The sequence below is a fragment of the Homo sapiens genome, chromosome 1 (assembly GCF_000001405.40).
Source record: "Homo sapiens chromosome 1, GRCh38.p14 Primary Assembly".
Classification (NCBI taxonomy): Eukaryota; Metazoa; Chordata; class Mammalia; order Primates; family Hominidae; genus Homo; species Homo sapiens.
In genome coordinates this window covers 2,295,280-2,322,897 of record NC_000001.11, presented here as the reverse complement: position 1 = coordinate 2,322,897, position 27,618 = coordinate 2,295,280, and the positions used below count along the sequence as shown (strand labels likewise).

Here is a 27,618-nt window from a genome sequence, read left to right as displayed (position 1 = left end):
ACGGTGGCCACCAGCCAGAGCCCTTGCCGCCCACCCTTCCCATCCGCCGGGACGCCAGCCTCAGGAGTGGGGTCAGATGGGGCCTGTGGCCGGGCTCCTCAGCCACTGCCCACTGAGCTCTCGGCCCCCCGGCCAGCGCCTTGGCCACCACTGGTATAGCTGGATTCCTGGGAACACCTAGAAACCGGGCTGCTTGGAAACACTGTGGCGTTGCCATGTGGGGCTCTTCCTCCGCCCGCCAGGGAGGCTGTCCCCGGTGCCCGGTGCTGTGGCCCACACCCGCCAGGTTGCAGAACGTGTGTCCCCCTGGCGAGGCCCCCCAGAACCGTGTTTTTTTTTTTCTAAAGGAGCTGACTCGGGGCCAAGCACATTCCTCCCGGCCCCCGAGGCTTGCTCTTGTCCAGCCCTGGGAACGCACAGGCGGCCGAGCCCGTGGCCTGGCCGAGGAGGCCGCCGCTCTGCGAGGGGAGCGCTGTTTTCCAGGCCGGCGTCTGGAATGTTGCTCTGCCTTGCGGTGTGAGCCGACTCCTGCCCCCATTTCAGCTGCGGCCGCATTCCTGGTGTGAGCCCGGGCCAGCCGAGGCGCTTTTTCCACGCTCCGGTGCCAGCCCCGGCAGGCTCAGGGGAGGGGAGAGGATGGTTTCTATGGCAACCTCACTTTTTGTTATTTCTTATTTTCTTTTTTATGGTTTCTCCAACTTTGAAGCTCTCCAGACAGTTTACAGACTGTGAAAGGAAAAGTACTTTTCCTTCTCTGCCGAGTGCCCCCAGCAGGGCCGCCCTCCAGCCCCACCCGGAGAGCCCCAGCGCGGGTGTGGGGAAGGGGCCAGGGCGGGGCTTCAAAAGCAAACCAGACACACCAGCCTTCAGAGGGTTCGTTATTTTTAAAAACAGTTTATGGAGGGAATGAATTATTTTTCTCCTAAAAAAGTAGGAAAGTATTTGCAAAAGAATCCTTCAGGGACCTGTAGCCAGGTCAGCAGTGGGGGCTTGAGAGCGGCCACCATGCGAGGGTCGTGTCCATCCTTGCCAGCCTCCGAGCTGGAGGCCATAGCTGGGCTGTGGCCTGAGGTCAGAGGTGGTTTCCTTTACCCCAAATTAGTTTATTCACCTATGCTGACTGTGTGTCCAGCCCCCCAGGACCGGTCCGGTGGCCAGTCCTGTGGTTACAGTGCCAAGAATCCCAGAACCCAGGCAGAGATGACCAGGGTCGGGGGCACAGGGGCCAGCGGGCACATGAGACAGTGGGCAGTGGGCTGAGGCCAGGGAGGGGAAGGGACAGGAGCCTGCTGAGGACCAGCCCACCCGCCCCTTGCAGGGGAGTACGTGCTCATGATCCGCGACGTGACCACCCCGCCGTTCCTGGGGCGCAGGCTGCCCCCGGCCTTCAAACACCTGCGGGTCGTAGCGAAGAGGGCTGGCCAGCCACCCCATGTCCTGGAAGAAGGCCCTGAAGCCTCAAGCAGCTGGCAGGCCGCCCACAGCTGCACCCCAGAGCCGCCAGCGCCTCGGTGAGGCCCCGTGTCCACAGGAGGCCACCTCGGTGTGAATGGAAGGAAACGCTGCCTCTGCTTGCGTGACTCTGCTCCCCGATTCTCCAGAGCCCCGTGGTTGCTGGCTTGAATAAAATGCTCAGTGGCGGCTATGGAGGGCACTGCTCCTTGGGCCCCACGCCAGCAGCAAGGCCCTCCCCATGCACCCGCACACTCATGGGCGAGGCAGCGGGACTGGAGCCCACGTCCCTGCTCACTGCTGTGGCCCCCGATCTGCGCAGAGCCCTGGGAAGCCTGTGGGGTCAGGCGGGACACATGGGGTGGCTCGTCTCAGTGCCTCAAGACCAGGCCTGTAGCAGTCACCCAGGCACCCTGCGAGGCCAGCACGTCTGTCCCACCCACACTGTTCCCAGGCCCAGCCGCGGTTGGTGCTGGAATTCCCCTGCCAGGCTGGGGCTGGGAAGGAGGGTCCCTGTCTCCCTGCCGCAGAGCTCTGCAGTGAAGCCCGGCCAGCCAACCTCCTGGCCTCTGCCTGGCACTACCCACTCCAGGCAATCCTGCCCGCAGGACGGGCTCCCATGACAAGAGGCAGGAAGCATGCAATCAGCTCTGCTGACCAGGTGTCCTGCCTGCCTGACGCCCCCACCCCGCATTGACCAGGGAGGATGGTCGGGGACATTTTACAGCTGCCTCCGGAGGGCCCCTCAGCCAGAGAGGGGCCAGAAGGTTGTTGGGGAGGGGGCACTGAGATGGCCCATGGGCAGCCAGCCACTCGGTCAGCACAGAAGGCGGCCACTGCAGAGACCCTGCCTCCTGGCCCCACCGCACCTGCCCTGGCCCCTGGCTTCACCCTGCCCACCTGGGGCCTGTGCAGCTTGGCTGGTCTCACCCTCTGCCCGCCCAGCGCTGGGCAGGGAACCAGCCTCCTCAGGCCCTTGCTCTCCTTGCTCTCCCTTGACCCACCCCCGTCCTTGCAGCCCACCCTCTCAGAAGACCACCGTTTGCAGCCCTGGGGAGGGGGCGTCCAGGGCCCAGCCCCAGCCCCACACCAGACCCATGCCCCCTGATGTTTCCCTCATGCTGCTGTCCCCGGCCCTCCCACAACTAGCACCGACCTCCTTGCGTTGCGGCCAGACCCACCCTCCCACTGTCCAGGCGCGCTTCCCTGGGAACACACCCATCTCCCAGGCCAGCTGCGGCCGGGGCATCTCTCCAGACCTGCACAGGGAGCTGCTCCTGCTCGGCGGAGGGAGGCCGTGGACAGAGGAGCTGCGTTCACAGCAGTGCAGGAACCCGGGGCAGCCCCTGGGCACATGGGGTGAAGATCCACCCAGAAGCTGGGATGCTCCACGGTGGGGGGCCCTGAGGAGCTCTCAGGGAAAGCCTGGTTGGGGCCAGGTCGGGCGCAGCGTGGTGGATGCACTGAAGGCGGCCTGCTGCCCGGGGGCAGAGGGGCGGGCGGGGGGGCATTGCAGGGAGGAACCAGGCCGGATCGCGGGGTGCCGAGTCCCCCATCCTTGGAGGTGACAAGCTGGAGGCCACTGGAGCTGCAGCGAGGGGACCCTTCCTCTGCCAGGGCAGAGTGTCCCCAAGGCCCCCTGGGTCTGAGCTCTGCCACTGGGAGGCCGAGTGCATGTGGGGGGCTCTGGCATCCCCGAAGCTTCCCCAGACACCCAGGCATCCATTCCAGACAGCAAGGCAGGCAGCCACTCTCCCACACCTTCTAGAAGCCCAGAGCCAGTGGCAAGGCTGCGTCTCCCAGCTGCGGCCATCCTCGAGGCTCCCAGAGCCCAGGGCGGCTTCATCACAGCCATGGCTCCAGCCTCTGGTCCCTGGGAGCCCCGTGAGCGCCTGGCGGTTCTGACACTGCCCCTTACCCTTGGGGTTGGCTACGCCCGTCGGAGGGGAGGCTCCTGGCCTGCCAGGCCTGCTCCGACCTGGGTCACCAGCCTCCCAGGAGGCCAGGCAGACATCGGCCAGGCCGGGCCCACAGAGGAGCCCCCGTGAAGGACAGATACCACCGCGTCACGCTGACCCTGATCGCTGCGTGTGAGCGGCGCTCACCTGGGCCTGCCCCTTACATTTGGCAAATTGCTCTGTAGCTGTTTTTCACTTCAGGATGAAACCACATTTGTGTCAGAAGAAAAATAGAAAATGATGTTTCAATTTAGAGAAAGAAAAATTGCTGGGAACAGCAGCAGCTGCTGGGTTTCCAGTGTGTTGAGCGGCGTCCTCTGGGATTTAATTCCCAATCAGCAGCCTCGGCTTTCAAAGTCACAAAACCCACGACAGGAAATCCAGCGCTGTTTTCTCCACACGGGTGCGGCGGATGTGGGGATCTGCACCTCGGGGGGCTCCTTCGTGGCTGACAGGTGCATCTTGCCGTCCATCGAGGCTGACTTTTCTGTAAGCTCTCTGCAAACACAGAAGCCCGGGGCCGTCAGCTTCCTTGGTTATCACAGCAAAACCCCGGGCAGGCATCGGTGTCCCCTGTGCTTGCTGCCAGGGCCACTGAGGGCCCAAGAAGGTGGCCAGGTGGCTACCTGGCCATGCTCCTCTCCCCATGCGCCACCCACCAGGACAGGCCCTGGGGACCCTGGGAGGGAGCAGAGAGCCGTGGCTTCCTAGGGCTGCTGGCGCCTCTCTGGCCAGCATGCCTGGGAGCTAACGGGCAGCCAGCCTTGGAGAGACGCAGCGCCTGGGCCTCGCCTGGACTCCCGCCCCGGCCCCACTCACCCTACTCCTCACACCACATCCCAAAGTTAAAATACGCAGGAAATTTGAATTCTTTAAAAAAAAAAAAACCACTGCGGGAGAGAGGCTCTGTGGAGACAGCCTTGTGGCCACAGACACGACTCTGGAGGGCTGGACGTGGGGTGAGGAGCCGGGCGGGAGAGGGAGGGACTGCGGGGCGCAGCATCCAGAGACCAGGAGTGGCGAGGCGGCCGCAGGCCAGGCTGCACCCAGGGACAGTGACCCTCCCCTCAGACTCTGTTCAGGCAGCCCACCGTGGGGACAGAGTCCTCGGGACCCGCCACAGAACACAAGGCCTCCCGCGTCCCTTCACCCTGGCTTCTGGGTCTGCCAGTCCCCATGGCCCTGGGGAGGCCACAGAGACTGGCCCGTCTGTCTGGTCCAGCTGACCTCCTGGGCAGAGTCCCAGGACCCCTTGCTCTCTCGGGGTGGGGAGGAAGATCCTGGAAGGAGGACGCAGAGCCCCCGACACGCGTCTCCCACCAGCACACGCCCCCACTCCGGGGTGTGCCCGTCCCCCTGTGAAAGATCCTTTCCCATCGCCTGCCCCACGCAGGCCAGAACCAGTCCCTGAGTGCCGAGCCCGGGACGGGGTCAAGTGGAAGGATGGGGGCCCGTGGGCTGACCTCGGCTCGCCTGCCCCTGCTCACTGGGCCTGCGTCCGGGACTGGGCGCTGATTCCCGGGCAGCAGCCTCACACCCGGCACTGGGGCCTCAGTGAGTGGACAGACTTGCTGCCGCCGAGCAGCGTCCCTGCGCTGAGGGCGCGGGCCGGGGACAGATGTGGTCCCAAAGGCCTGGAGCAAGTGGTGACGGCCACCAGCCCCGCCCACGGCAGCCATGGTCTCCCAGGCTTCCCGGGCCTCCTCTGCGTGTCAGGGGGAGGGCGGGCAGCTCTTGGTGCTGGAGGTGGAAACACACCGGCTTTGGGGCCAGGGTGGCCATGCCACGTGACCGTCTGACTGCCAACACAGCGGGACATGAGCTGGGCTGAGGCCTCCTCCCAGGCTGGGCAGGGGCTCTGCTGGGCTCCTCCGGACCTGGTGGGCATGGTAGGGGCTGTGTCTGCCTCTGGCCTGCAGGCCACGGCCTACTGGTGCCACCCCTGGGAACCTGAGGCCAGGGACCAGGTGGCGGCTCTCTGGCAAGCTCACAAACACAGTGTGTTGGAGGTGGAGCCCCCAACCCCAGCCAGCCCCTTCTCCTGCCCCAGGAAGAGTCCTGGGGAGAGCTCCAGGTCCCAGCTCCGCCCACCTCCCTGTGCCCCTCCTACCTCCCTGTGCCCCTCCTGTTCCTTTGACCTCCAAACAAGGGAGCAGTGGCCATTCCTCCTTTCCTCCCACCCATGGTTACCAAGCGAAGATGACACCGAAAGAGAGCATCAAGCCAGTTGCTGCCATGGAAGATGGAGTCTGTGAGCCAGAGAAAGACAGAGATACACAGAGAGAGGCAGACACAGAGAGAGTCAGAGAGAGACACACAGAGAGGTAGAGAGACGGGGTGGGGATGGGGGGGGATGCCTGCCTCACCCCTTCAGCAGGGCCTCAGCCAGGACACCCTCCAGACCATGCCCAGGCCCCTTTGGCATTAGCAGAGGACAGCGTAGCCAGGCCACAGCCGGGAACCAGACAGGACCCACCTGACCTGTGTCTCCTTCCCAAAGCCTCTCCCTCTTCGCTCCTGGTGCCTAGCGGAGGGTCGAGACCCCTGTGCAGAGCAGCTCCTCGCAGGCAGGCCTTCCTGGAGGGCCAGGTGCCCAGCCCCATAGGCAGGTTCCTGCACAGCCTGGCCTGGCCTTCCCTGGGAGCCTCAGGCCTGGGCTGAGTAAGCCAGGAGTCGCTGGGCCTGTGGGCTGGCTCAGCAAGACCACAGCTCAGCAAAGTGCGCTCGGGGCTGACCACAGACCCATCAGCCCCTTCGTGTCCTGCCTCCAGGCCCAGGGGCAGCCGGCGAAGGTCAGGCCCAGGGCCTCCCGGATGACAGAGCCCCCAGCTGGGGCTTGCAAGGGGAGCTGCCAGGCCCAGGGCTGCCGGCCCTTCAGCGAGCCCTGGGGAGTCTGCCTGGGGCCAGGGTGGTGCCTGGCTGCCCTCTTGTCCTCAGCTTGACCTCTGGCGGTGGCACTCGTGAAAATGCTGGACACTCCTTCTCCTTGTACTTCCACCTCCCGCCCACGGCAACCAGAGCCAGGAGCCAGGCTGTGGGGGCTCCGAACACAGCTCCAGGGCCAGCAGGGCCTCCTCAGTCTGTGGCGCCGCCTTCCTGAGGACCCGTGGGGAACAGAGGTAGCTGCCCACACCAGCCCCCCAGCCTCCTTGGCTCCTGAGGTGGACCACAGCCAGGGAGGGCCCCCCAACAAGGGTCCAGGCCCTGCCCACCCCTGCCTTACAGCCCAGGAGTCCCCAGGGGGCAGGCCAGGACTCAGCCCCAGCTCTCTCTGCCCCTGCGCCCAGCTGCCCAGCCCAGTGGCTGCTCCCTGGAAACCCCTCGGGGACTGCATCTTGGCTCCCCAGTGGCCTCAGGGAACCAGCAGCCGTTCTCCGGCCTATCTGCAGCCAGGCCCCGTCCTGGAGACCCTGTCCCGCTGCCCCAGACCTGACCCCACTGGGTCCTCATCCACCCACACGTCGAGCATGTCCCCTGCTAGGGCCCCACCTGCCGGCTTCCATCTGGGGACAGGAGAGAGGACACGCATGGGCTCCACGGTCCTGCCCAGGCAGAGAGAGGCAGGCTGAGCACCACGGGGCTGCTATACCCCTGATGGGGTTAGCGGGAGGGGAGGCTCAGTGCCTGGGAACCTGAGGGCATTTCCTTCCACGGAGCTCCAAGCAGAAGCGGCCTGGGGCGCAGCCAGGCTCCCTGCTAGGAGGGCGGGTTTCAGGCCCACAGCTCAGAGCATGGGTGGGGTGCCTGGGCTGGGGGTCCCTGGGCTGATGGCCTGAGGGAGATAGGAGGCCAGGCCTGCAGGGAGCCAGGGGGCCCGTGAGGAGGAGAGACAGCTCTAAGCGGCAGGCCTCGGCGAGACCGCCTGTGTCTCATGGTCTCCTGTGGTTGGATCCACCGAGTCCCCCAGGTCCCTGCGGGTTGTGGCGAGTGGGCTCACGGAGAGAGGGCGGCCTGCGCCCACCTCCCCAGCAACGACTTGGCGGCTGGGGCCTGCGGGCCGGGATGGGGGGTGTGGTGGTTCTTCCCGGGAACGGACCCCCAACTGAGCAGAACAGGGAGGCCGCGCCCCAGAGAGAAAAGCACCCGAACCCGCCAGGCTGGGACCTTCCGGGAGGGCAGGGTTGGCAGGGACCCCCCAACCCCGAGCTCGGCCGAGCTGCAGTTCCCGCTTCCACCGCTGGGGGTCGCACCGCCGCCCCCGCCCCCGCCCCCGCCCCCACCGTGCCGCGGGCGGCGAAACCCGTGAAACGCGCGCCGCCTCCGCGGGGCCTGGGGTGGGGAAGGGGGGACGAGCGGGGGAAGAGGGGTACGGGGGGGAAGGGGGAACGGGGGGGGCGCTTCCTGCCGCCGCCCTGCTTCCCGCAGCGGCCTCTGGGGGCGGCCGCGCCCACCGACGGGAGGAGCCGCAGCCTCTGAGACCCCCGCACGTAGCCCGCCGGTTCGGGGGCGGAATTCCCACCTCGGGAGCCGCCCCCACGCTGCAGGAAGCTCCCAGGGCCTCCCGTCCCGCCCCCCAGCCCGGGCCTGCTGCTCGGACCAGCCGCCCCCGGGCCGGAAGCCCCCGCCCCACCCCGCCGGAATCCAGCGCTGGCCGCGAATCTGGGGGGCGCCGCCCCGGACGGCAGGGAGGGTGGGGTAGCGGAAGAGGCGGCGGGGGCGGGGGGGAAACTGAGGCTGCGGGGGGGAGCCTGAGGCTGCGGGGCTGCCCCTCCGCGTGGGGAAGTGGGGCCCGGCGCGCTCCGCCTGACTCGGGGCCCCCAGTGCCCCCGGACTGGGAACGGAACGGGCGTCGGGGAGGCCGCCCCGGCCCTGAGGACGCGGCGCGGGGCCCGGGACGTGCACCCCTCCCCACCCCCCCAGCGCGGCTTCCGGCCCGGGCGAAGGAGCGGGATTGGGAAGGTTTCGGAGCCGGCGCTGGAATTCCTGGGTAGTTCCTCCGCCACCGCCCTTCCCCCGCGAGGCCGGCCTCCGACGGGGCCTCTCCAGGGTGAGGGGCAGGCCCTGGCCTGGAGCCAGAAACAGGATTTCCCCGGATGCCAGGACAGCGCCAGGGCCGGGGACAGGCCGGGGCCCCACTGCGGGTTTTCTGTCCTGCGCAGCAGTGACCCCGCAGACTTCGCGCACGGGGCGCAGGATGGGGTAGGGGGCCCAGAGCCTTGGTCTGTCGGACCCTCAGCGGCCAGCGCAGGTCGGTGGTCATTTCGGAGTTCCGGCCACTGTCCTGTGCAGGAGTGACCCTGGAGGCCGCCTTGGTTTGGCCTGGGAGGATTCTAAACACGGAGGGGCCAACACCGAGACCCGAGAGACCCCGGCCTAAACCTGACCCAGTGCCGGCCACACCAGCCACGGCCCTCCTGGCATCCCTGGGATCACAGAATGGGACAGCCTCCCCACCCACAATCCCCCCAGGCCCTGGCGAGGGCAGCTCCTCCGACGCTACAGCCTTTTTCCTAGGACTGTTTTTCCTTAGAAACAGGAAGCTGGGGCATGGGCATCACGTCCCTCGGGTGCAGGCCCCACCAGGGGCAGGGCAGAGTGGGGCTGGACCACAGGGCACACAGTACCTTGCCCAGCTCCTGCCCCAGGGTGGGCACAGCAGGGCGCAGGGCGGTGTCCATCTGCAACTGGTAGCCTGGCCTAACCTGGGCATAGCACCGACCAGGGTCATTTCACCCAGCTGGGGGCATCTCCATGAGGGAGGACACGCAGAGCTCCATCGTCTGTCCCTGGTTCCTGCTTGCCCTCCACCAAGACCCCAGCCTGGCCAGGCCCACCTTGCAGGAAGGGCCAGAAGGTTCCGACAGCAGAGAGGGGGACAGGGCTGTCAGGGAGAATCTGGCAGGGCCAGGCCAGGGGGGCAGCAGCTGGCACTGGCCAGGGTACACGGGACCCTCCAGGGTTCGGGGCTGGTGGCCTGCCCGGCCCCCACCAAGGCCTCTAGACGGCCCTCGACCCTCCACACCCCTGGTCTCTCGTTCTAGATCTGGATGGCACCCAATCCTGGTTTCTGGGCTGAGCTGGGCAGCCAGGAGCCCACCCTTCCAAGCCAGCCAGTTGTATCTCCACGGGGCCTGGGCACTTGGCACCCCTATACCTAAGAGTGTCCTTGGGACAGCTGCGGGGAGGGGCAGGAGACTGGGAGACACTGCTGCCTGGGCTGACCCAGGGAGCCCCTGCCTCCAGCCCCTACCTCCCCACCTCCCCACGGTTCCCTGTCCCTGGAAGTTTCTGGAACAGGCCTCCTTTGCAGGAGGAGCCATGGAGGCCGAGCCTGGGCTGCACTTCTTGCCAGTAAGAGCTGCCAGGCCCGGCCATGGGAGAGAAAGGTCCGTTCCCAGCCCGGCTGGACACCTGGCCCAGCACAGGACACTGCAAAGACAAGCCAGGCTGGCCAGGCTGCCCCTGCCGGTCCTCACCCGCAGCGGGGCCACCTGCTCCAGGGCTGGGTGCCCCAGCCATTGAGGCCCCCACCCACCTGGCACAGGCCAGGCACAGATGGCCATGTGCGTCACTGAGACCGGGGGGTGGCAGGGCTGGGCGGGCATCCAGTCCCCAAATGTTCTGTCCTCACCCCCTCCCCAGGGTCCGCTGTGGGTGGAGTAGACAGGGCAGTTTCTGTGGGGAGGGTCGGGACCCCCCCGGGGCCAACACATCAGGGTCACGACCCCATCATTTCTGGAGGGCAGGCGGCCCTGGCCTGGGGGTGTCCCTGTGGGCTCCGCACCTCCTTCCAGCGGAGGCTCCGTGGGGTCAGAGGCCGGGTCGCCTGGAGCAGGACCAGCAGCTGTGCAGAGGCTACGAGAACAGAGTGGGTGGGGGCTGCCTCTTCCTGGCCAGAAGGAAGTGGGGGAGTCAAAGCAGGTGCTGGGACGTGGGGGTGGCCAGGCCTGGGCCAGGATGGGGTCGGGGTCTGGGCCTGTGGGCTGGGGCAATGGGTAGAGCCCCTCATGCAGCCATGAGGGGGTGTCCAGCTTGGGGGCCCCTGGCCATGCCCTTGGAGCACTGCGCTGGGGCAGGAGGGCGGGTTGGGGGTGAAGTGAGGGAGGAGCCGGGTCCCTGCTTAGGCTTAGGGCTGGGGCCGGACACGCGGGGCTGAACCAGTGGCTGCAGTAACTGGTCAGCAGTCTCCACTCCCCACCTAGGACGTGCTGGCCGCTGCCTCCCCAGACAAGGTCAGGCTGCTCAGCCGTTGTCGGCCCCCTTGACCACAGGCTGGTGGGTGAAGGCTGGCAGGACTGTGGCTCCAGGAGGAGGGGGAGACCAGCACAGCTGAGACCTAAGGACAGCTGTTGGTGACTGAGGCAGAAATGGGTGGGGCACAGGGTGGGGCAGAAACTAGGGAGGTGGGGGAGCCCCCATCCCCTTCCCTGAGCTCATCTTCCCCAGACCCCAGCTCTTGGGGGCTTGGGAACAGGCACTGCCAGGAACAGGGGTACTGGGAGCTGCCCTTCCAGGGAGCTGAGGCTGGAGGGCTAACCCGTGGTCCCTGCAGAGGCCCAGGCAGGTGTGAATGCTGGGAGTCCTGAGCCTGAGGATGCAGAGGTAGGGTGGGGAGGGCCATCTCTCTCCCCCCACCTCTGCCCTCCCCTGGCATGGAGGCAGGGAGCTTCTCCCACCCAGGCCTCCTCTCCCCCAGCACTCAGGAGACCCCTGGATCCCTTCGGAACAGCTTTGGGAAGAGGGTTCTGACCCTGGGTGACGGCTGGCCTAGCTCAGCAGGTGGCCAGAGCCCTTTAAAGCTCTAAGTTTATACCCAAAGGTAAACACCAAAGAGAAGCCTGGGGCAGCTTGGGGAACAACTGAGCCCAGAGCACCGCCCCTCCCTGCCCCCACGTGGCTGCTGGAGGCAGTGCCTTTGAGTCTCCGGGAGGGTCGGGAGGGCCGTCATCAAGCCCTGCGGTGCTCAGCTCCGAGGCAGAGTGCCCATGTGGCCACAGGGACGGTCCTCGAGGCCCACCCAGGACCTCGGCCCAGCCCTTCCCCAACTCCTCCCCACTGCACTGGACCCCGGGCTGGTCCTCTGTGCTCACAACTGACTCAGTCTCAGGGTCCTGCCAGCGGCACTCTGGAGCCGCCCATCCTCTGCCCCCCAGAACATGCACGTGCCCAGGACCAGTCCACACCCACTCCTGCTGTGGCCCATGTTCCCCTCGGCCCACGCCCCTGCCCACTGCCCCCAACACCCAGGGGCCTAGCCTGGATGGAGAAGCCAGGCCCATGTGGAGTGGGTGTTTTGAGGCCTGCTGGGGTAGGCCTGTGTGGTCTAGAGGCCGCCCTGTACCCTCCGTGGGGGCTCTATGAGCCCTTTGGGGCCCTGGGCAGGGAAGAAGGAAGCCCCTATGTGGCAGTGAGGGGAGGGCCAGGTCTGCTCTAGCCCCAAGCTTGGGGGCACTTCCCGAGGGGTGGAGAGAAGAGATGGGGACCTGGAAATTGTGCCGGGAGGCTGGGGGGAGGGGCCGGCTGGAGCCCCTACCAGCCCATGCCTTTCTCGGACCACAACCCAGATGACCTATGAGGGCCTGGATGGGCTGGAGATGCTGGATGTGATGGCCTAAGGAAGCCTAGAGAGGTGGTGGCCTGGCACCCCAGGGAGCCCACCCGGGGCTGTGCCTCCATGAAATTGGCATGCGGCATGGCACCTCCAATCCCCAGAACAGGGGTCTGGGAAGGCCCCCCTGTGAGGTCAGGTGGGGAGAAGGGACCTCTGTGTCTCCCTCGGGGCAGCTCGCTGGGGTCCAGGGTTCTGATGCCACCTCCCCTCTCCCCCGCAAGTAACCCAGGAGCTCCTCAGGGAGCTGGCGATCCACCCCTTGGGGACAGGTCTGTCCGTGCGGGAGCTGGACCTTGGCCAACCGCAGGTGCGGCCTCAGAGGCCCCCGTGGAGGCCCAGCCGGGAAGGCCCCATCCCATCTTCTGTCCTGGCACTGCACTCTGTGGGGCTTCCTCCCAGCCGGCCCAAGGCCACGGTGGCCTCAAGCCAGGGCTCCAGCCACATCCAGTGCTACAAGCAGGGACTGCAAGCTCCCTGAATCGCAGAGGAAACCGTGGCCTTGCCCAGCTCAGAGGGGACGGGGACTAGGTGAGAGGGCAGTTGTGCCAGGGCGGCCGCCTGGACCCCACGTGCCCTCGGGGTCGACGGAGACTCCGAGGCCCACAATCTGACCTGTGACAGCACCCCCACCCACGATGGCCTGAAAGCGAGGGGGTCCCAGCCGCCCGTGTGTGGCCGGTCTGGGGAGGGGCTGTGGTGGGCGCACGCACAGCTGTCCCGCGGTCCTCTCAAAGTCCTTTATTGTACAATGTCATCTGTTTCGGGGTCGGGGAAGGACTAACAGGTACACAGCGAAATAGATAAATATGCCAAGCTCTTTTCTTTTTAAATCAGGCATTTATAAACAAGAAAGCATACATTAATTACATAAAAATAGTTTCCGAGTAGCAGAGTAAGCATCATACTGTCGTTAGCAGCAGCGTGGGGCACGGGCAGGGGCGGGGGTCTGGGTGATGTTAAAGGTAGAGATGGAGCTTTTTCCTTAATTGAAAAAAAAAAGTCATTTGTGACTCCTGACTTAAAGCGAGAACGAACATCTCCCTGGACCCTGGTGGGCTGAGGGAGGGGTGGGGGGGCCGGGGTTCGGACCCACAGGGAGGAGGGGGTGGGGGGGGGGCCGGGGTTCGGACCCACAGGGAGGAGGGGGTGGGGGGGGCCGGGGATCGGACCCACAGGGAGGAGGGGGTGGGGGGGCCGGGGTTCGGACCCACAGGGAGGAGGGGGTGGGGGGGCCGGGGTTCGGACCCACAGGGAGGAGGAGGTGGGGGGGGCCGGGGCTCAGACCCACAGGGAGGAGGGGGTCACATGGGAAACGCACATGGGTTTCTCCGTCTCCCCTGCCCCCCGGCAGGAAAGCATTTTTTTTTTCCTCAGTTAAAAACAGCCCAGAAAACAAGACAACTCTCAGGTAAGAAAAGAGTTTCTGAAAAAGGACCCAGCATATACATGTATAATACAACGGTGAAAAAGGAAAAAGTATTTACAGGTGAACTGTTTTTACATTGGCTAGTTCTGTACGAAAAGCAGACATTACGTGTATGAGTTAGCTGCTCCAGAGATATGAATGTTATTGCTGTTGTTTTTCCCTTCGTTAAAAATCTTCTTTCAGTATAGAAATATAATGAGAATTAAACTGAATACACAATCACTTAGATGAAGGGCCTCACACACAGAGGAGTCAGCAGCCCACACAGCGGACACCTCTTCCCCCTTCTGCTGAAAAGAAACGGACTCGCACCTGTGCCAAGGGGAGCCAGGCGTGCACCCCTCGGGGCCTGGGACCCCTCAGTCCAGAGCAGCCCTGCAGCCACAGCTGCCCCCTCAGGCCCCTGACAGTGGAAGTGACCCTGGTGAGCCGAGGCAAGAGCTGTGGGAACTGCCTGGGAGGGTCCCGAGCTCGCCTGCCCACGTCCGGGTCCCACTGACCGCACGGGCCTGGCAGCTGCAGGAAAGGGTGGGCCCAGGTGACACTGGCTGGACCCTCCCAGAGCCGAAGTGGGGAAGGGCTGCCACTGCAGATACAGCGCTTTCCGTTTGGGGCAAGATGGGGCGGTGGAGGCGTGGACCCAACGGTGACCGTCGGGATGGAGCAAGGGCAAGGAGAGGCTCTGGCCCAGACACAGCTTGGAAAAGCTCATCTCCCTCTGGGGTCTAAAAACTCAAAGCAAACGGAGCAAGCCTGGCGGCCCTGGGGATGGGGCAGGGCCTCTACCTCACTGTGATCTTCGACCTGGCGACACAGGACAGCCACACAGAAGCACGCCAACACACTTAAAGCTTTGCTCCAACTAAATCATTTAGTTTCCCTTGAAGAAATAACTGAAAAAAAAAACAACTCTGGTAAAACAAGGCTAAAAACAGCATTCTGCATGTTGCATAACAAAACCGACCCTTTACAAGACACGGTAATAATGCCCGCTGACGGATCTACCTACGGCAGAGGTGTGGAATCCATGCACACAGAACAACCGCAAAGAAAACAAAAGCAAAGAAAATTCCAAACAAACGCTGCATATACATGATGTCCCTTTTGCATTGCACTTTAGAAGGGGTGGGGGGCTTCAGCAGCAACCAAGACCCCCCTCAGTAAACCAAGGGCAAAACCCCGCAGGCAATTCCGCCACCCAGATGCGAGGGCTCAGCAGTCTCTGGTCTTTGCTCGTCACTGCCCCGAGGTCGTCTGTACCTGGGCAAGTAACCTCCACCTTCTGTGAGCGCGTGCAGCTGCCGCGGGTGTTAGAACGGATTCAAGCAAAGAACTCCTGTAAGATCTTCTTATGTAAATAAATACCGTAACTGTAGGATAGGTAGCCGCCTCTTGTCTACTGGGAAATCATTTTTCAAGCTTGGGCATAAGAAACCTTATACAATTTGCATAAACAGGTGAGAGTAAACGAGATTATTTGGAATAAATGCAAGGAACTTATTCTGAGAGTGGCAGATTCAGTCGCTACTGAAGACAGATATCTTGGGGGTAAAAAGACACGAGTCAGGATTTGCTGTACAAGATGCTGGAAGGCACAGAACGACCCCCGAAGTTCAGTTTTTGCATTTTCGTTTTCTTGTGATTCCCTTGTTCAACCAAGCACCAGAGGGGGTTTCTAAGCACTCGAGCACTTCGGATTTGACTGCTCTATAAATCGGTAAAAACCTCAGTTCACTGGGGAATAGAAAGAGAAGGGAAGGTTGTGGACAAAGTGCAGTTCTAAATATACGTTTAAATGAACGAACAAAAAAAAAGAAAGAAAAATTGAAATAATGCTCTTTTGTTCCAATGCTGCAGCCTCAGTCCCAAAATGAAGGGAGCGACGTTTGCCGAACTGAAAAGGGTCGCCCGGTCAGGCGGCACGTGTGCCCGGAGGGGCTGAGGGCGTGACCGCCAGCCACGGTCACCACCCGACGCAGGTCAGTGCCTCGTGGTGGAGGAGCGTGGGCAGAATCACGGGGTGCAGAGGAGCCGAAGACCGTCCCCTCAGCTCCGGGGCAGCTCCTGTGCGGCTCTGCACTTCCTGGTACCCGTGGGGACAGCGCTGGCATCGACGGCGGCGTGGCGGGCGGGGTAGGCGGCAGTAAGGCGGGCAGTGTTCGAGCTCATCTCGCACGCGGCACTGTCCCTGCTCTCCCTGGCAGCAGCAGGAAGACCTGGGTCCTTGTCGCTGAAAAAATAGACTCTGAAGAAAAACCCCTGCTGTCCTCACGCAGCCGCGGGCAGATGAGCTGTGATGGCTTCCCCGGGTGGGGAGGGTGGGGCGGCCGCCACCCCCACTCCGTTGCGGGTCTTCAGATGGCGTCATGTGTTGGGGCTTTTAGAAGTTAGTCATTTAAAAATGTGTTGATTTTCTGAATTTCAAGTCTCCTTACTGGTTTTAAATAGCTTATAACAAAAGTGTAAATGTTAGAATGTTCCAGCAAGCAGAGGACCAGCAGGCCGCCGAGCTGGCCCCGTCTCCAGCTGTAGTTGGGGGACGCGGCTTACTCACTTGAACTTGGCCAGTAGAAAATTTTGCAGTGGGTTCCAAAACTACATGGTTACAAACACTCGCTTGGTAATAGGCACGGTAAGACGTTGTGCTGTGTGGGCTGCAGGGGCGGAGCCGGGCGGAGCTGCACCGCCCAGCCGCGCCCCCCTGCACCCGCGTTGTCGGCGGCGCTGCGGCGGCAGGCACGGAATCTACGGCTCCAGCTCCGCAGCGCCCTCGCTGCCCGCAGCCTCGGGGCGGGCCCGCGGCCACAGCTGTTCCTGCAGCTCCTTCACCACCTTCTCCAGGTGCTCCCGGGCCTCGCGCTCCCGCAGCAGGTCGGCCCGCAGCTGCTCCCGGTCCGCCTCCGCGTGCTGCAGCTTCACCTGCAGGTCTTCGATCTGAAAGGGAGCCGAGTGGTCAGCGGCGCCTGCTCGCTGCCCTGCCCCGGCCCGACGCTGCTTCCCCCACCCGAGGCTCCTGCGCCGCTCCCTGTCCCTCCCCAGTGCCGCGTGCCGGCCCCTCCTCCACCTGCTAGGACACAGGCTCACGAGACGCAGGGCCCAGCAACCACCCACCCTGTGCCCGTCGGGGGGGCACGCACGGAACGTGGTCCCGGGCCTGGCTTCTGCTCCAAGGCCTTTCCGGCTGGGCAGGACTGGCCACCGGGGCCCACGGCGGCTCCACGCCCACCGTGCTGCGTGCCTCAGTCTCCCCACCCGCATACCTGGGCCGAGTACTTGGCGCGCAGGCGGCCCGCCTCGCAGCCCTTGTCGCACACCCGGGCCTGCCGCGCCTGCTCCAGCTCCCGCTTCAGGCGCAGCCGTGACTCGTTGGCCTCTTTCATCTTCTTCTCGTTCTCGGCGCGGAGACGCTCGATCTCCTTCCGCAGGTTACGCTTGGCCTCCGTGGCCTCCCGCAGCTTCTCCTTCTTGGCCACGCGTAGGAACTCCAGCTCCTGGGGGCCGGAGGCGGCTCGGGGTCACTGCCCAGCCGGTCCCAGCACACCCCTCACCATGACCAGCAGTCCTCAGCCCACCCCGTGGGGTCATCTATCTGACAATGTGCCCTGGAGCCCCGCCCCCAGCGCGCCATCAGCCCAACCCGTGTGGTGCCCCGACCCCACAAAGGCTTTTCAGACCCCCATCCGGAGTTTCCGCCAGGCCTGTGGCAGCTGTGCTAAACCTGGGGGCCTGAGTCAGTCACTTGAGGCTGCGGCGGGGCCTCCCCCGGTATCTAGGGCCACGTTCCCCTTGGGGGCAGCAAGCCAAGTAGGCCCTGGCTCCCATCAATGTGAGGAGGGCAGCCTCAGACATCGCACCATCTGAGGGCCCCGGGTCTCCCCACGCAGCCAGATGGACACGTCCATCCGCCCGGCGCCTCCGCAAGCCCCCCCACTCTCCCCATTAAAATATCCGTGTGACTCACACCCCACGCTGCAAACACACCACATGAATATGTATGTGGGAAATCACACCTCCAACCAGAATCAAGGACAACAGTGGCGGGGGACGTGCTGGGGCGAGGGACTGGCACGCGCAGGAGGGCACGTCGGCAACCCTGCAGCTCTGAGGGCCGACGGGGTTGTGTTGTGCTAAAGCCCACGCCGCGGAAGCTGCCAGACGCCGCCGAGGTGTGAATTTAGCGAGGCCGGGGCCCGGTGAACAACGGGCCGCCTGCACACCTCTCTCCCCAGGCAGCTCTGCCTGTGAACCGCACTTCCCTCAGTCATGTCAGAAAGAAACCTAAACAACGTAAAAGGAGGCGCGAGACCGGAGCTGCAGCGTGAGAACCGTGAGGCAGAGCCCAGAGAAGCAGCGTGTGCAGGTGGGTGTGTGTGTGTCTGTGCGGGCCGAGCCCTCTCCTTCCTACTCGGGAGGCCTGGCGGGAGCCGCCTTCTGGAACACCAGGCATTAGTAAGCACGCCCCTCACGCCTGTGTTTTGCAGACGCCAGGTCTTGCTGGCGGAGCGCGTGAACACCCACTCCTGGAGCACACAGAGCAAGGAACTGTCTCCATGCAGCTGCTCCCAACTCTTTCTGCCACTAAAAATAGCCCGGCCTCCCTTATACCAGAGAAACATGGCTACTTCCTCAGTGGGGCCACCACGCAGGGTGTGTGATCCTGATGGGGAAAGCTGTGGTCAAGCCAAATGTAGTGGCCTCCTGGGATGTCCATCAGCCTGGGGACACTGAGGGGCTCACCATACCCAGGGCTGCAGCTTTTGGGAGACGGACCCCCAAGGTCCCAGGCAGGCCCACTGAGGTGGAGGCAGAGAGGAGCGCATGGGGCAGCCAGGAAGGGAGGAGGCACCACCTGTGCCCGTTCACCTGGTGCAGGCTGTGCTCACTGCCCGTGCCCTGGACCTCCCAGCACCACTCGCCCCGCTCACCTGGTGGAGGCTGCGCTTGGCCTGCAGGGCTGCGCTGAGCTTCTCCTCCTGCTTCACGCGCATCTTGACCACCTCATGCAGGAACTTCTCTTTGGCTTCCTTGGTGTCCAGGCCGCCCTCCAGTGCCTGCCGCAGGTGCTCCAGCTCCGCCTCCAGCCCACTGGGGGCGTCGGCAGGGGCCGCAGCATCAGGGACGGCCGAGGGCAGGGCACGCGCACCCGGGGAGCCCAGGTCCTTGGCGGAGCTGGATGAGGTAAAGGACGGGGAAGAGAGCGAGGACAAGGAGGAGGTGACTGAGGAGGAAGCAGAGACAGAAACAAAGTCATGGAAGTGCCCGGCAGCTCCACACCAGGGAGACGCGCCGCTCCCGGAGGAACCTGCGAAACATGGGGCCACCAACGCACCCCCGGCGACCAGCCCCCCTCAGCCAGTGCCACCCCCACAGCCCACAGGGAGGAGGCACAGAAAGCGACTCACACGTACATTCCTCCCTGCTTTCAACTTCCACCTCCGCCTCCGAGTCCTTGTCCTCCTCTGGGGCAGCCACGGGCGCCAGCGTCTCTGGGGCTCCTGGGGTGTCCACAGTCAGCTTCCGCTTCCGAGGCTGGGTGCAAGTGGCGAGAGGCTCGGGGGCCCGGGAGACGGCGGCGGCACACGGAGGGCTGCTCACAACCTTCTGCTGGGCCGGCGGTGCGAGGGCCACGTTGGGCGCCACGGCTGTCTCAAAGCTCTTGTAGGAGTAGAAGCTGGAGGGGCAGGCGGGTGTCGGGAAGGTGCCTCTGTCCCCAAGCACCACCCAGACACATCCTGGCGCACACCCCCTCTGAAGGTGTTAAACAGGAAAGACTTTCCCAGCTCCGAATCTTCAAGTCAAGCTTACAGTTCCCTAAGAACCCGTAAGCGTTTTCTGCTTGCTGGGTCTCTTGCGAAGGCCAGACACAGGCCAACACATCAAGAAGCTGCGCCCAGCAGACAGGGCTCCACCCACGACTCCACCCAGAACACAGGGAACGCTCTAGGTGTGCTCTCCCTGATGCCAGCCAAAGGAACCAACACCGAGACTGCCCTGACCAAAAGGCGGCAGGTCTGGGCACCCAGCCTGCAGAAACATGGGCGCGTCCGCATGCACAGCCCTCGTGGAGCCTCCCCCGTGATCAGAAACACCTGTGAATGGCGCCCACTCACCTGTCTCGGATGAGGGCCGGGAGGTGTGGGGAGAGCTCTTTCTCACTCGCTGACACTGCGGGGGACCAGGGTCGGAAAGCAGAGAGGCGCTGGCGAGGGTGAACACAGCCCAGGCTCTGTCGAGAAAGAGTTGTCTGTGTGAGTGACCAGGAGAAAAACAAGCCACTTCATGTCCCTGAGGCTGCGCCGGGTGCCAGCCCTCAGTAGCGGGCAGGTGGAGCTGCCAGCCGCTGGGTCTGCCCAAGGAGAAGGGCCCAGTACCCACCACCCCAAGGACCCCGACAGGCCCCACAGCACCTTATTGGAAGAGCCGGCCAAGGTCCGCAGCCAGCTGGACGGCTTGTCCTTTTCGGAAGGCGCGGGGGACTGGGAAGAGGTGTCATCTGTTTTGGGTCTTATGGAGGCCGGAGGCTCAGAGGAGACCTGCGATCAATGAAAGGTTTTGTTGGCACCTGTGGTTCCCAGGGCAGGGTCCCTCCACCAGCCCCGTGGCTGGCACATGGCAGTCAGAGCCCCATGCACTCCGGCCACAAACGACCCTGAGTGGCGCAGAAGGCAGATTCCAGGGCACCCCCCAGGAGACCAAGTTCACTTTGCATAAAGGCCCTTAGGCCACGCGCAACAGGCACGTGGAGGCTGTGCTGAGGGACAAGTCATCTCCGAGAGAACAGAGTGGACCTTGTCCTGCCATTCCGGGTGACCTCACCCACGGCTGCAGCAGGTTTGGGATGGAGCACCAAGACCCACTCTCCCCTTCCACAGCGGCTCAGCCTGGCCAGGAGTCCCTCGTCCTTCTCCTGCCAAACCCCTTTCCTAGAACCCGAGTGTGTCCTCAGAGGGTGCCCAGCGCTGGGCACTCAGCTCAACCAGCCACAGCACGGCGAGAGCCACTCACGACGGATGCGTCTGGGAAGGGCAGCTGCGGCACAGGGGTGGTCGCGGGGAGGGGACACCGTGTCCCTGTGGGCCACTGGCACAGGTGCATTAAAGAGTGGGCATTCTGGCTGCCCCCTCCCCATGGGAAGGAAACATTTTCAAAATGAAGGACACCATCCCCAAGGAGCCTGGCTCCTACAGGATGGCACCACACACACCTTTGCCTCGCTCCTTGCCAGCCCCGGTGCTGGAGGAAGCTTAGCGAAGGTGCCCAGACCCAGCCCACCCAGAACCAGGTCCCGCTGGTGGAGGAAGCTTAGCGAAGGTGCCTGGACCCAGCCCACTCAGAACCAGGTGTTGTGTGTCAGGTGCTGAGGCACATCCCCCAAGAGCCAGTGAGTGATGTGGGTTGTGTGCTGGGGGCCTGAGCCGGTACATCCAGCCTCAGGCAAACGTGAACTCCCACAGCCCTGCGGCTGGAAACCCCTGAGACGGTGCTGCCCGCAAGGCACAACTGAGACCCAAGGTCTCTTCCCAAGCAAAATCACAGGGCAGTCTCCGTAAAATGGGCCATTCCTCTACTGCCAAAGACCCCACAGGACAGCACAGAGTCTCCAGGGCAGCTGGCACCAGGTCTACACCACAGGCCAATGCAGAACAGGCCACACAGGGCAAGGGGCCCTTCACAGGGGTGAGGTCCCACTCACTCTGCCGAGGCCAACCTCAAGAGGAGGCAGCAAAGTCGGGCGGTGGGGGCTCCGCCCTTGCCCTCAGCCAGGAAGCCTTGGTGGACAGAGCACACTCAGGGCCGGGGGCTCTTCCCACCTCCAGGACTCTAGGAGAAGACGCTGCATCAGGAACCAGCCTCCTGGAGGCAGCAGGGACCCTGCTTCCCTAGGGGGAAGATGGGGCGCAGGGCAGGCTGTCCATCAAGGTGCTCCAATTATGGGGATGGAGGGCCCTGGGGGAAGATCTGGCCAAAGCCCGTGGCCTCCCCTGCAGCACGTGCACCCACCCTGCAGCCCTCAGGGAACAAGCAGGGTGGGGCCAGGGGAGGGGCAGGTGCCTGGCTCTGACCTGGGCCCAAGGGAGAAAGATAAGTGCTCGGGCGCACAGGGCCGGGGACGCAGGGCAGGCAGCCCCTGAAGGCTCACGGCTGTGGATGGTTTTTTTCAGAGACACTAAAATAGCTGTTCAGGAAAAAAGACACTGAAAATACCCCCTCTATGTGGCGGCTTTCGAGGGGAAGTGAGTGTTGATGACGTCTGGCGGAGGCCCTGACCGCAGGGTGCTGTGCCTATGCCTGGCAGGGGCGGGTGCCATCCTAGCTGCAGCAGAGCCCCTTCCGGAATCATGCGGACCCTCCCGAGAGGCACAGAAGGCCGAGGACGCCCGGCTGGGTGGAGCTTCCTGTCTAAGCAGCCACTGAAGCGGGCGCGGAAATTCGGCTCAGTTATCACCCGGGGAAAAGCCACAACAGCCGGCGCTGACTCCGGGAGACTCAGAGACTCCTTGAGGGGAAAGAGTCAGATGCCTCAGGCCACCTCCATGAGAGCCAACGCCTGAGAACACGGCTCTGCCTGGTGGGGCCCCAACAGCCGCCCCGTGGAGGTGGCGGGAGGACCGTAGGCCCGGGGCCCCGAGCCCAATCCGCTCAGTGGGGGGTGGCCGAGGACCCTGCAGATCTGGAGGGTTGAGGCAGATGGGCTCAGGGCCATCCTTGGGGCCAGGGACGCTCCTGGTCTTCAGGGAGCCAGGACGAGCCTTCGGAGACATGACTCCGTTAAGACCCCTGCCGACCCCTCATCAGGCGACTCCCGGCTCTCAGGGCGGGCTCTCTGCAGCATCAGAGAAACGGAGAGAAACGTGTAAAATAGAAGGTGTCTGCGCCCCTGTGGGCGGAGGAAGTGACACTCTCAGAGGGACTGTCACCTGAGCAGTATTGGTTTCTCAAAGCCCCAGGAAGCAGACAGCCGTCTTCAGGCCTGGGATGCCACCCGCCCTACCAAGGCCCCTGGGGGCCCCAGTGTCAGCTGTCGGTCAGGGACAAAACCACACCCAGTGACAGACGGCTGAGTCTTACTCTGGGAAGAGCAGCTACGACCGCTTGCCTCTGGTGTGACCCTTCCTGGGGCTTCAAAACCCGCCCTTGGAGCCCACAGGCCACGAGGCAGGAGCACGGCTCTGGACCTGACACACCAAAGCAATGGGGCTGGGCCTGGATAGGCCTGCAAGGGGCTGCCCCATCCCAAAGCCCTTCAGGCCACTGTCAGCTTACACAGCGGAGGCCAGACGACACACCGCGCTGCCCCGCGGCCACTTCCCCTCCTGGGGTCCTTCCCCACACCCCGAGGATGACCAGGCAAGCTACCTGGCCAGCAGGCACCCGGGCAACGCGTGTGAGCTTGCACCCAAGGACAGGTGCCCCCCTGCCAGGGCAGGGCAGGGCTGGGCTGAGGAATAGCGGGCCCAAGACTGTGGACACCCTAGGCCCTCTGACGGAACAGTTCCTGAGCAAAGCCCACAGGACCTATGCAGAGGCGGTGGCCCAAACAGGTGAGCCAGCAGTGGATGCCTGCCGAGGACTGGGCAGCCACAGTACACTGCCACAAGCAAGCCACCAGCTCCCCATGGGGGAGTCTCAGAAAAGACGCTCTCCAAAAATGCACACCCCACCCTTGGGGGCCCTGCGTTTCAGGCCTGTAAGGTGCCAGGAACAGAGAAGAGCCATTGAGAAGGCCTTGGGGACCCTTTCCTGCCTGACACGTGCAGATGCTCAGGGCGAAACGCTGGCCCATCCCCTGCAATAAGGAAAGGGAGTCTGGAGGTCACAGAACTGCCATCTCCCTTCCCCAGGCCCCTGGCACAACATGAGTGGGGGCTGCTTCTCCTGCCAGATCCCACAGGGTCCAAACACAGAAGACCTCAACCCCCCAGAGCAAGGAGACGCTCCATGTCCCCTACCCTGGCAGGGAGGCTGGAGTCCTGGACAGCTGCCGAGGGAGACGCCGCAGAGGCGGAGGGCACTGAATCCAGAACCGAGTGCAGCAGCGGTTACAGCTGGCCTCTGTCCCCAGGCACCTGAGCCACTCCAGACAGGCTGAACCCAGTCTGCACATGTCCTAACAACAGCTCCTCCCAGGGCACCGAGAGCCCGGGTCGTCAGCTGGGCCACTTCCCCCACTGTGGCCTCAGCGCCTCTCACTTCCAGAGTCCGTGAGGAGGACATGGGCACAAGCTGCTGCCCCGCCTGCCCGTGTGGCCCCCCCCCTCCCCGAGGCAGGGACAGTCACTCGGGTCCCCGAGCTGATGCCCACAGCTCCGGGCCTTCTCCACACTGAAGCTGAATGACGGGGCTCAACGCCGCATCCCCGCCCTGCTGGCCACTCGGCGCTGACGGTCGCTTCCTTGAACCTTCTGAACACTGGGGTCTGAGTCAGCCTTTGCTGAGAGAATTCACACCCCAAATCCACACAAAACAACCACATAGAGCCTGCTGTGAACCTCCACGACCACCCGGCATCCACCCACCCAGGGCTCACAGGCACCAGCAGGCAAGGCTCCACCCAACTAGAGAAGGCAGCTCCCACACCAGGACCCCCCAGGGCAAGACTCCGGGGAGGCGGGAGTGAGTAGTGGGCAAGCACCACAGGGTGAGCTCTGGGCACCAAGGAGCCCACGGCCTGGAAGCTGGCACACGCGCCCGCCCACCACAGGCACATTCTTGCTTTTGACTGATGATCAAAGAAGGCCCCATTTGGTGGGCGCGTTGATACAGCAGCCAGGATCGGCCACGTCTGTCTCTGAATGTCTGCACCTCACCTGGGATGTGGTCTGCCTGGAAGCAGCACCCAGACCCCAAGGCCAGACAGGCCTGCCTGTGAGTTTTCAGCCTCCCCTTAGACTGGTCTCTTTGCCCTCATTGGTAAACGGGACCCCGTATTAGGGCCAAAGGATACAAGGGGGAAACAGGACCCGGGCAGGGTCCCGCCTCTGCTCATGCTGCCTCAGGGAGCTGCTGAGAAAGCCATCCGGCCCGGGGACAGGCCACGGCCACACCCCAGACCATCCTGAGCATGGGCAGCCAATCCAGGAGCCGGGGACCACACCTGCTCCAAGGGAGAGGCGCACAGCAGCAGCCATGATGATGTCAACACAACTCCCTCCAACCCCAGGGACAACCACAGGGAACTTCGCAGAGTGAAGAAAACCAGTTTTCTGTTCAACTTGCAGCCCAGCAACCTGTCAGGAGGGCACCAGCCTCAGTCACCCCGGGACCCCAGTGTCCAGCGGCCAGTGTGCCCTCAAGCCCCCACGAGGGCGCGCATGTATCCAGCTGAAACAGACATTGAGGCCTTTGTGACGCCGGCTTCACATGTGAACAACGCACAGTGGCAGAGCGGTTGAGCAGCCCACAGGTCAGTCCAGGGGCCACCACCAAGCTCTGTGGGTCAGGCTTCCGTCTCCACACCTGCATGGATGCTCGGCCCATGACCACCCGGTGTCAAAACTGCACTCTGGTGCGGGGGGATGGACCCACAGCTTGCGGCTACACCCCAAGGCCTGCCACACAGCACAGCCCACCCTGCAACCCCTCCCGTGCGTCCCCTCAGCGTCTTCTCCTGCCAGGCTGCAGCCACGGGGCAAGGGGACCCTCCAGGGGAATGCATGCGCCATGGGAGTGGCCAGTCTCAGACCTGCCCATGCACACCGGGCGGGCCCACGCCTCCTCTCCTCAGCATGCAGCATCCGCAACCAGGCACAGCTGCCATGATGGGAACTGGAGGGAAATGTGCGGCCAAGGGCCGGGAAGTCCTGCAGACGCAGATGCTGCCTCGCAGGGTGAGTCCGTGAGCGCCAATTCGTCTCTGTACAGGGGCCACGGGCTTATGGAGGGGATGGCTGCCACCAATAGGCAACGCTGTGGAGTGGCGCAGATGTTGTAGGCACCAAGAAGCCTCCAGAAGCTGCCAGCCACAGTCCACATGGTGGTGCAACCCTGGGGCCACAGCAGGTGGAGCGGCAGGATCGCCCACAATCTGGGTTCCGAGGAGATCGCCTGTGCTGGTGTTCTGACATTCCCAAGAGGCCGCCCACAGCGTGGTGAGCGGGCTGGGCACTCGAGGTCCTGCCTGTGGCCCTGCTCCTGAAGCACATGGCCCAGCAACACTCTGCTACGCTGAGGTTCTCTTCGGTGTGGCTGAAAACCCGTCTGCTATTCCTTAAAAGGATACAACCCAAACTTCAGCCGTGGGCCCGGCGTGGTGGCTTATGCCTGTAATGCCAGCTCCTTGGGAGGCTGAGGTGGGAGGATCACTGGACCTCAAAAGGTCGAGGCTGCAGTGAGGTATGATCCCACCACTACACTCCAGCCTGAGCAACACACTGAGACCGTGTCTCCAAACACAAACTTTGTGGTTTTCAGACCATCTTGCCACATTCTTCAAGTGGAAGACGGCCTATGCCCACACCAAGAGCCTGTGCGGGTGCCTGGCACCTCCATTCAGTATTTTCAAGGGAGGCCACCAATTCTCACCTGCAGAGGCCACGGGCCTTGTGGGAACAGCACGGTATGCTCTCATGTCCCTGGCTGCAAAGACTGTTTCTGTGCACGGCCTCCTTAAACCATTTCCCGGACTGAACCGTCTGTAGAGCCGAGGCTGCGAGCGCACGTGAAGGTTTTCACAGCAGGAACGTGGCGGCCTCAGTCCAGACTCCCGCCCCCGCAGAAGTGCTTCCATGACACCAAAGCACAAGGAACAGAGAGAAAACACAACAACAAGGCTTCCCAGAAAACAATCACGACGTCTTTGTGCTTCAAAGGACACCATCGAGAAAGGGAAAAGACAGCCCACAGGATGCAAGGGAAAACGTGCAAACCCGGTAGCTGGTAAGGGACCAGATTCAGAACACATGAAGAACTCTGCAAGTCAGCAAGGAAAACACAAAACACAACCCAATTTCCAAATGGGAGAGAATTCGAGTAGCCATTTCTCCAAACAGGATACTAACATCCAGTAACCGCATGCAAAGCTGCCTGACATCATTCACTGTGGAAACGCAATCACACCGCAGGGAGACGTCAACTCACGCCCACAACGATGGCTAGAACTGGGTTTGTTTGTTTTTGAGACGGAGTCTTGCTCTGTCACCCAGGCTGGAGTGTAGTGGCACGATCTCAGCTCACTGCAGCCTCAACCACCCAGGGCTCAAGCAATCCTCCTACCTCAGCCTCCTGAGTAGCTGGGACTACAAGCATGTGCCACCATGCCCAGCTAATTTTTTGTTTTTTTTTTTTTGTTTTTTTTCCTAGAGACAAGGTTTCACTTTGTTGCCCTGGCTGGTCCTGAACTCCTGAACTCATGCAATCTGCCCACCTTGGCCTCCCAAATTGCTGGGACTACAGGCATGAGCGCCTGGCCTAGAATTTTTTAGTTTGGACAAGTGTTGGTGATGACATGGAGACACAGGAACCCCTATGCATTGCTAAGAGGAACGTACAATTATTTAGCTGCTGTGGAAAACAGTCTGGCAGGTCCTCGGAAGCTTAACACAGTTACATCGCCCAGCAATTCCAGTCCTCGGCGTACACGCAGGTTACTGAAAACACACATCCACACGACAGCTTGTGCACAAGTGCTCACAGCAGCAAAGTGCAGCCACCCAAGCATCCAGAGACAAATGACGGGATAGATTGTGGTCTGTGCAGACAATGGAGTATGATTCAGTCATGAAAAGGAAGGAAGGAGCCTTGAAAATACTGTGCTGAGGCCGGACACACACAGTCACACGTGGCCTGGACACATAGCCACACGTGGCCCGGACACACAGTCACGTGTGACCCGGACACAGTCACGCATGGCTCTCATACACACAGCCACGCGTGGCCCAGACACACACACAGTCACGTGGCTCTACTTCTATGGAATGACCAGGACAGGCCAATGGCCAAGATCAGTGCTGGCTGGGATTTGGGGCCTGGGGAGTGACGGACCATGTGCATGGGGCTTCTTGTTGGGGGTGACAAAAATGTTCTCAACTTAGATGATGATGGCTGCATATACTGAAAAACCATTAAACCATATTCTGTGGAAGGAAGAATTTTATGGTACGCAAATTATATCTGAATACAGTCTTAATTTTAAAAATCAAAAATATGACAGTGAATTCTTGGTCGAAAGCCAAACTGTCAAGGTGAATGGTTTTCACTGCAGCACGGCCCTCAGAGCCAGACAGGATGAGATG

General features: G+C 63.0%; 2 protein-coding genes and 1 long non-coding RNA gene across 10 annotated transcripts in view, besides 12 other annotated features; 1 reads left to right on the top strand and 2 right to left on the bottom strand.

The window, feature by feature from the left end:
- MORN1 (MORN repeat containing 1) overlaps positions 1–1,645 on the top strand; it is a 70,302-nt gene extending 68,657 nt beyond the window's left edge. The window contains exon 14 of the mRNA NM_024848.3: positions 1,319–1,645. Within this exon, the coding sequence (NP_079124.1) occupies positions 1,319–1,515 (197 nt within the window). The 3' untranslated portion in view covers positions 1,516–1,645. The remainder of the gene's footprint in view (positions 1–1,318) is intronic.
- Positions 189–796: an enhancer, noted in NCBI's record as "H3K27ac-H3K4me1 hESC enhancer chr1:2253541-2254148 (GRCh37/hg19 assembly coordinates)". NCBI's record gives its function as "activates a minimal SCP1, AML or CMV promoter by ChIP-STARR-seq in naive H9 embryonic stem cells {active_cell/tissue: H9 hESC(naive)}" and the evidence as "EXISTENCE:reporter gene assay evidence [ECO:0000049][PMID:30033119]".
- Positions 327–532: a silencer, noted in NCBI's record as "fragment chr1:2253805-2254010 (GRCh37/hg19 assembly coordinates)". NCBI's record gives its function as "represses an EF-1alpha promoter that drives an FKBP-Casp9 reporter gene in an ReSE screen in K562 erythroleukemia cells {active_cell/tissue: K562}" and the evidence as "EXISTENCE:reporter gene assay evidence [ECO:0000049][PMID:32094911]".
- Positions 1,646–3,629: 1,984 nt separating the features above from the next.
- LOC124903824 (uncharacterized) lies at positions 3,630–7,903 on the bottom strand. 4 transcript variants are annotated; one of them, XR_007065362.1, is made up of 4 exons: positions 7,870–7,903; positions 6,900–6,952; positions 5,887–6,506; positions 3,630–3,908 (listed from the first exon to the last, which is right to left on the bottom strand). It is a non-coding gene; the product is annotated as an uncharacterized LOC124903824 (long non-coding RNA). The 4 variants fall into 4 exon arrangements; XR_007065359.1 differs by lacking the exons at positions 6,900–6,952; positions 7,870–7,903 and adding exons at positions 5,169–5,287; positions 5,521–5,659 and having other exon boundaries at positions 5,887–6,305; XR_007065360.1 differs by lacking the exon at positions 7,870–7,903 and having other exon boundaries at positions 6,900–7,855.
- Positions 6,837–7,590: an enhancer, noted in NCBI's record as "H3K27ac-H3K4me1 hESC enhancer chr1:2246747-2247500 (GRCh37/hg19 assembly coordinates)". NCBI's record gives its function as "activates a minimal SCP1, AML or CMV promoter by ChIP-STARR-seq in naive and primed H9 embryonic stem cells {active_cell/tissue: H9 hESC(naive and primed)}" and the evidence as "EXISTENCE:reporter gene assay evidence [ECO:0000049][PMID:30033119]".
- Positions 6,837–7,751: a biological region, named in NCBI's record as "H3K27ac-H3K4me1 hESC enhancer GRCh37_chr1:2246747-2247500".
- Positions 7,462–7,751: a silencer, noted in NCBI's record as "silent region_111". NCBI's record gives its function as "represses an Ori minimal core promoter by ATAC-STARR-seq in GM12878 lymphoblastoid cells {active_cell/tissue: GM12878}" and the evidence as "EXISTENCE:reporter gene assay evidence [ECO:0000049][PMID:35858748]".
- Positions 7,902–8,061: a silencer, noted in NCBI's record as "silent region_110". NCBI's record gives its function as "represses an Ori minimal core promoter by ATAC-STARR-seq in GM12878 lymphoblastoid cells {active_cell/tissue: GM12878}" and the evidence as "EXISTENCE:reporter gene assay evidence [ECO:0000049][PMID:35858748]".
- Positions 8,152–8,271: a silencer, noted in NCBI's record as "silent region_109". NCBI's record gives its function as "represses an Ori minimal core promoter by ATAC-STARR-seq in GM12878 lymphoblastoid cells {active_cell/tissue: GM12878}" and the evidence as "EXISTENCE:reporter gene assay evidence [ECO:0000049][PMID:35858748]".
- Positions 9,071–9,724: an enhancer, noted in NCBI's record as "H3K27ac-H3K4me1 hESC enhancer chr1:2244613-2245266 (GRCh37/hg19 assembly coordinates)". NCBI's record gives its function as "activates a minimal SCP1, AML or CMV promoter by ChIP-STARR-seq in primed H9 embryonic stem cells {active_cell/tissue: H9 hESC(primed)}" and the evidence as "EXISTENCE:reporter gene assay evidence [ECO:0000049][PMID:30033119]".
- SKI (SKI proto-oncogene) overlaps positions 12,685–27,618 on the bottom strand; it is an 81,895-nt gene continuing 66,961 nt past the window's right edge. For 3 of the 5 annotated variants that reach the window (XM_005244775.4, XM_005244776.5, XM_017002128.2), the window contains exons 2-7: positions 19,795–19,920; positions 19,498–19,613; positions 18,790–19,058; positions 18,313–18,605; positions 16,648–16,878; positions 12,685–16,321 (exon numbers count right to left, since the gene is read on the bottom strand). In XM_005244775.4, the coding sequence (XP_005244832.1) occupies positions 16,133–16,321; positions 16,648–16,878; positions 18,313–18,605; positions 18,790–19,058; positions 19,498–19,613; positions 19,795–19,920 (1,224 nt within the window). In that variant the 3' untranslated portion in view covers positions 12,685–16,132. The remainder of the gene's footprint in view (positions 16,322–16,647; positions 16,879–18,312; positions 18,606–18,789; positions 19,059–19,497; positions 19,614–19,794; positions 19,921–27,618) is intronic. The other 2 variants (NM_003036.4, XM_047428466.1) reach the window with 1 other exon arrangement.
- Positions 15,611–16,244: an enhancer, noted in NCBI's record as "H3K4me1 hESC enhancer chr1:2238093-2238726 (GRCh37/hg19 assembly coordinates)". NCBI's record gives its function as "activates a minimal SCP1, AML or CMV promoter by ChIP-STARR-seq in naive H9 embryonic stem cells {active_cell/tissue: H9 hESC(naive)}" and the evidence as "EXISTENCE:reporter gene assay evidence [ECO:0000049][PMID:30033119]".
- Positions 21,680–21,739: an enhancer, noted in NCBI's record as "active region_53". NCBI's record gives its function as "activates an Ori minimal core promoter by ATAC-STARR-seq in GM12878 lymphoblastoid cells {active_cell/tissue: GM12878}" and the evidence as "EXISTENCE:reporter gene assay evidence [ECO:0000049][PMID:35858748]".
- Positions 23,979–24,490: an enhancer, noted in NCBI's record as "H3K4me1 hESC enhancer chr1:2229847-2230358 (GRCh37/hg19 assembly coordinates)". NCBI's record gives its function as "activates a minimal SCP1, AML or CMV promoter by ChIP-STARR-seq in naive and primed H9 embryonic stem cells {active_cell/tissue: H9 hESC(naive and primed)}" and the evidence as "EXISTENCE:reporter gene assay evidence [ECO:0000049][PMID:30033119]".
- Positions 24,491–25,002: an enhancer, noted in NCBI's record as "H3K4me1 hESC enhancer chr1:2229335-2229846 (GRCh37/hg19 assembly coordinates)". NCBI's record gives its function as "activates a minimal SCP1, AML or CMV promoter by ChIP-STARR-seq in primed H9 embryonic stem cells {active_cell/tissue: H9 hESC(primed)}" and the evidence as "EXISTENCE:reporter gene assay evidence [ECO:0000049][PMID:30033119]".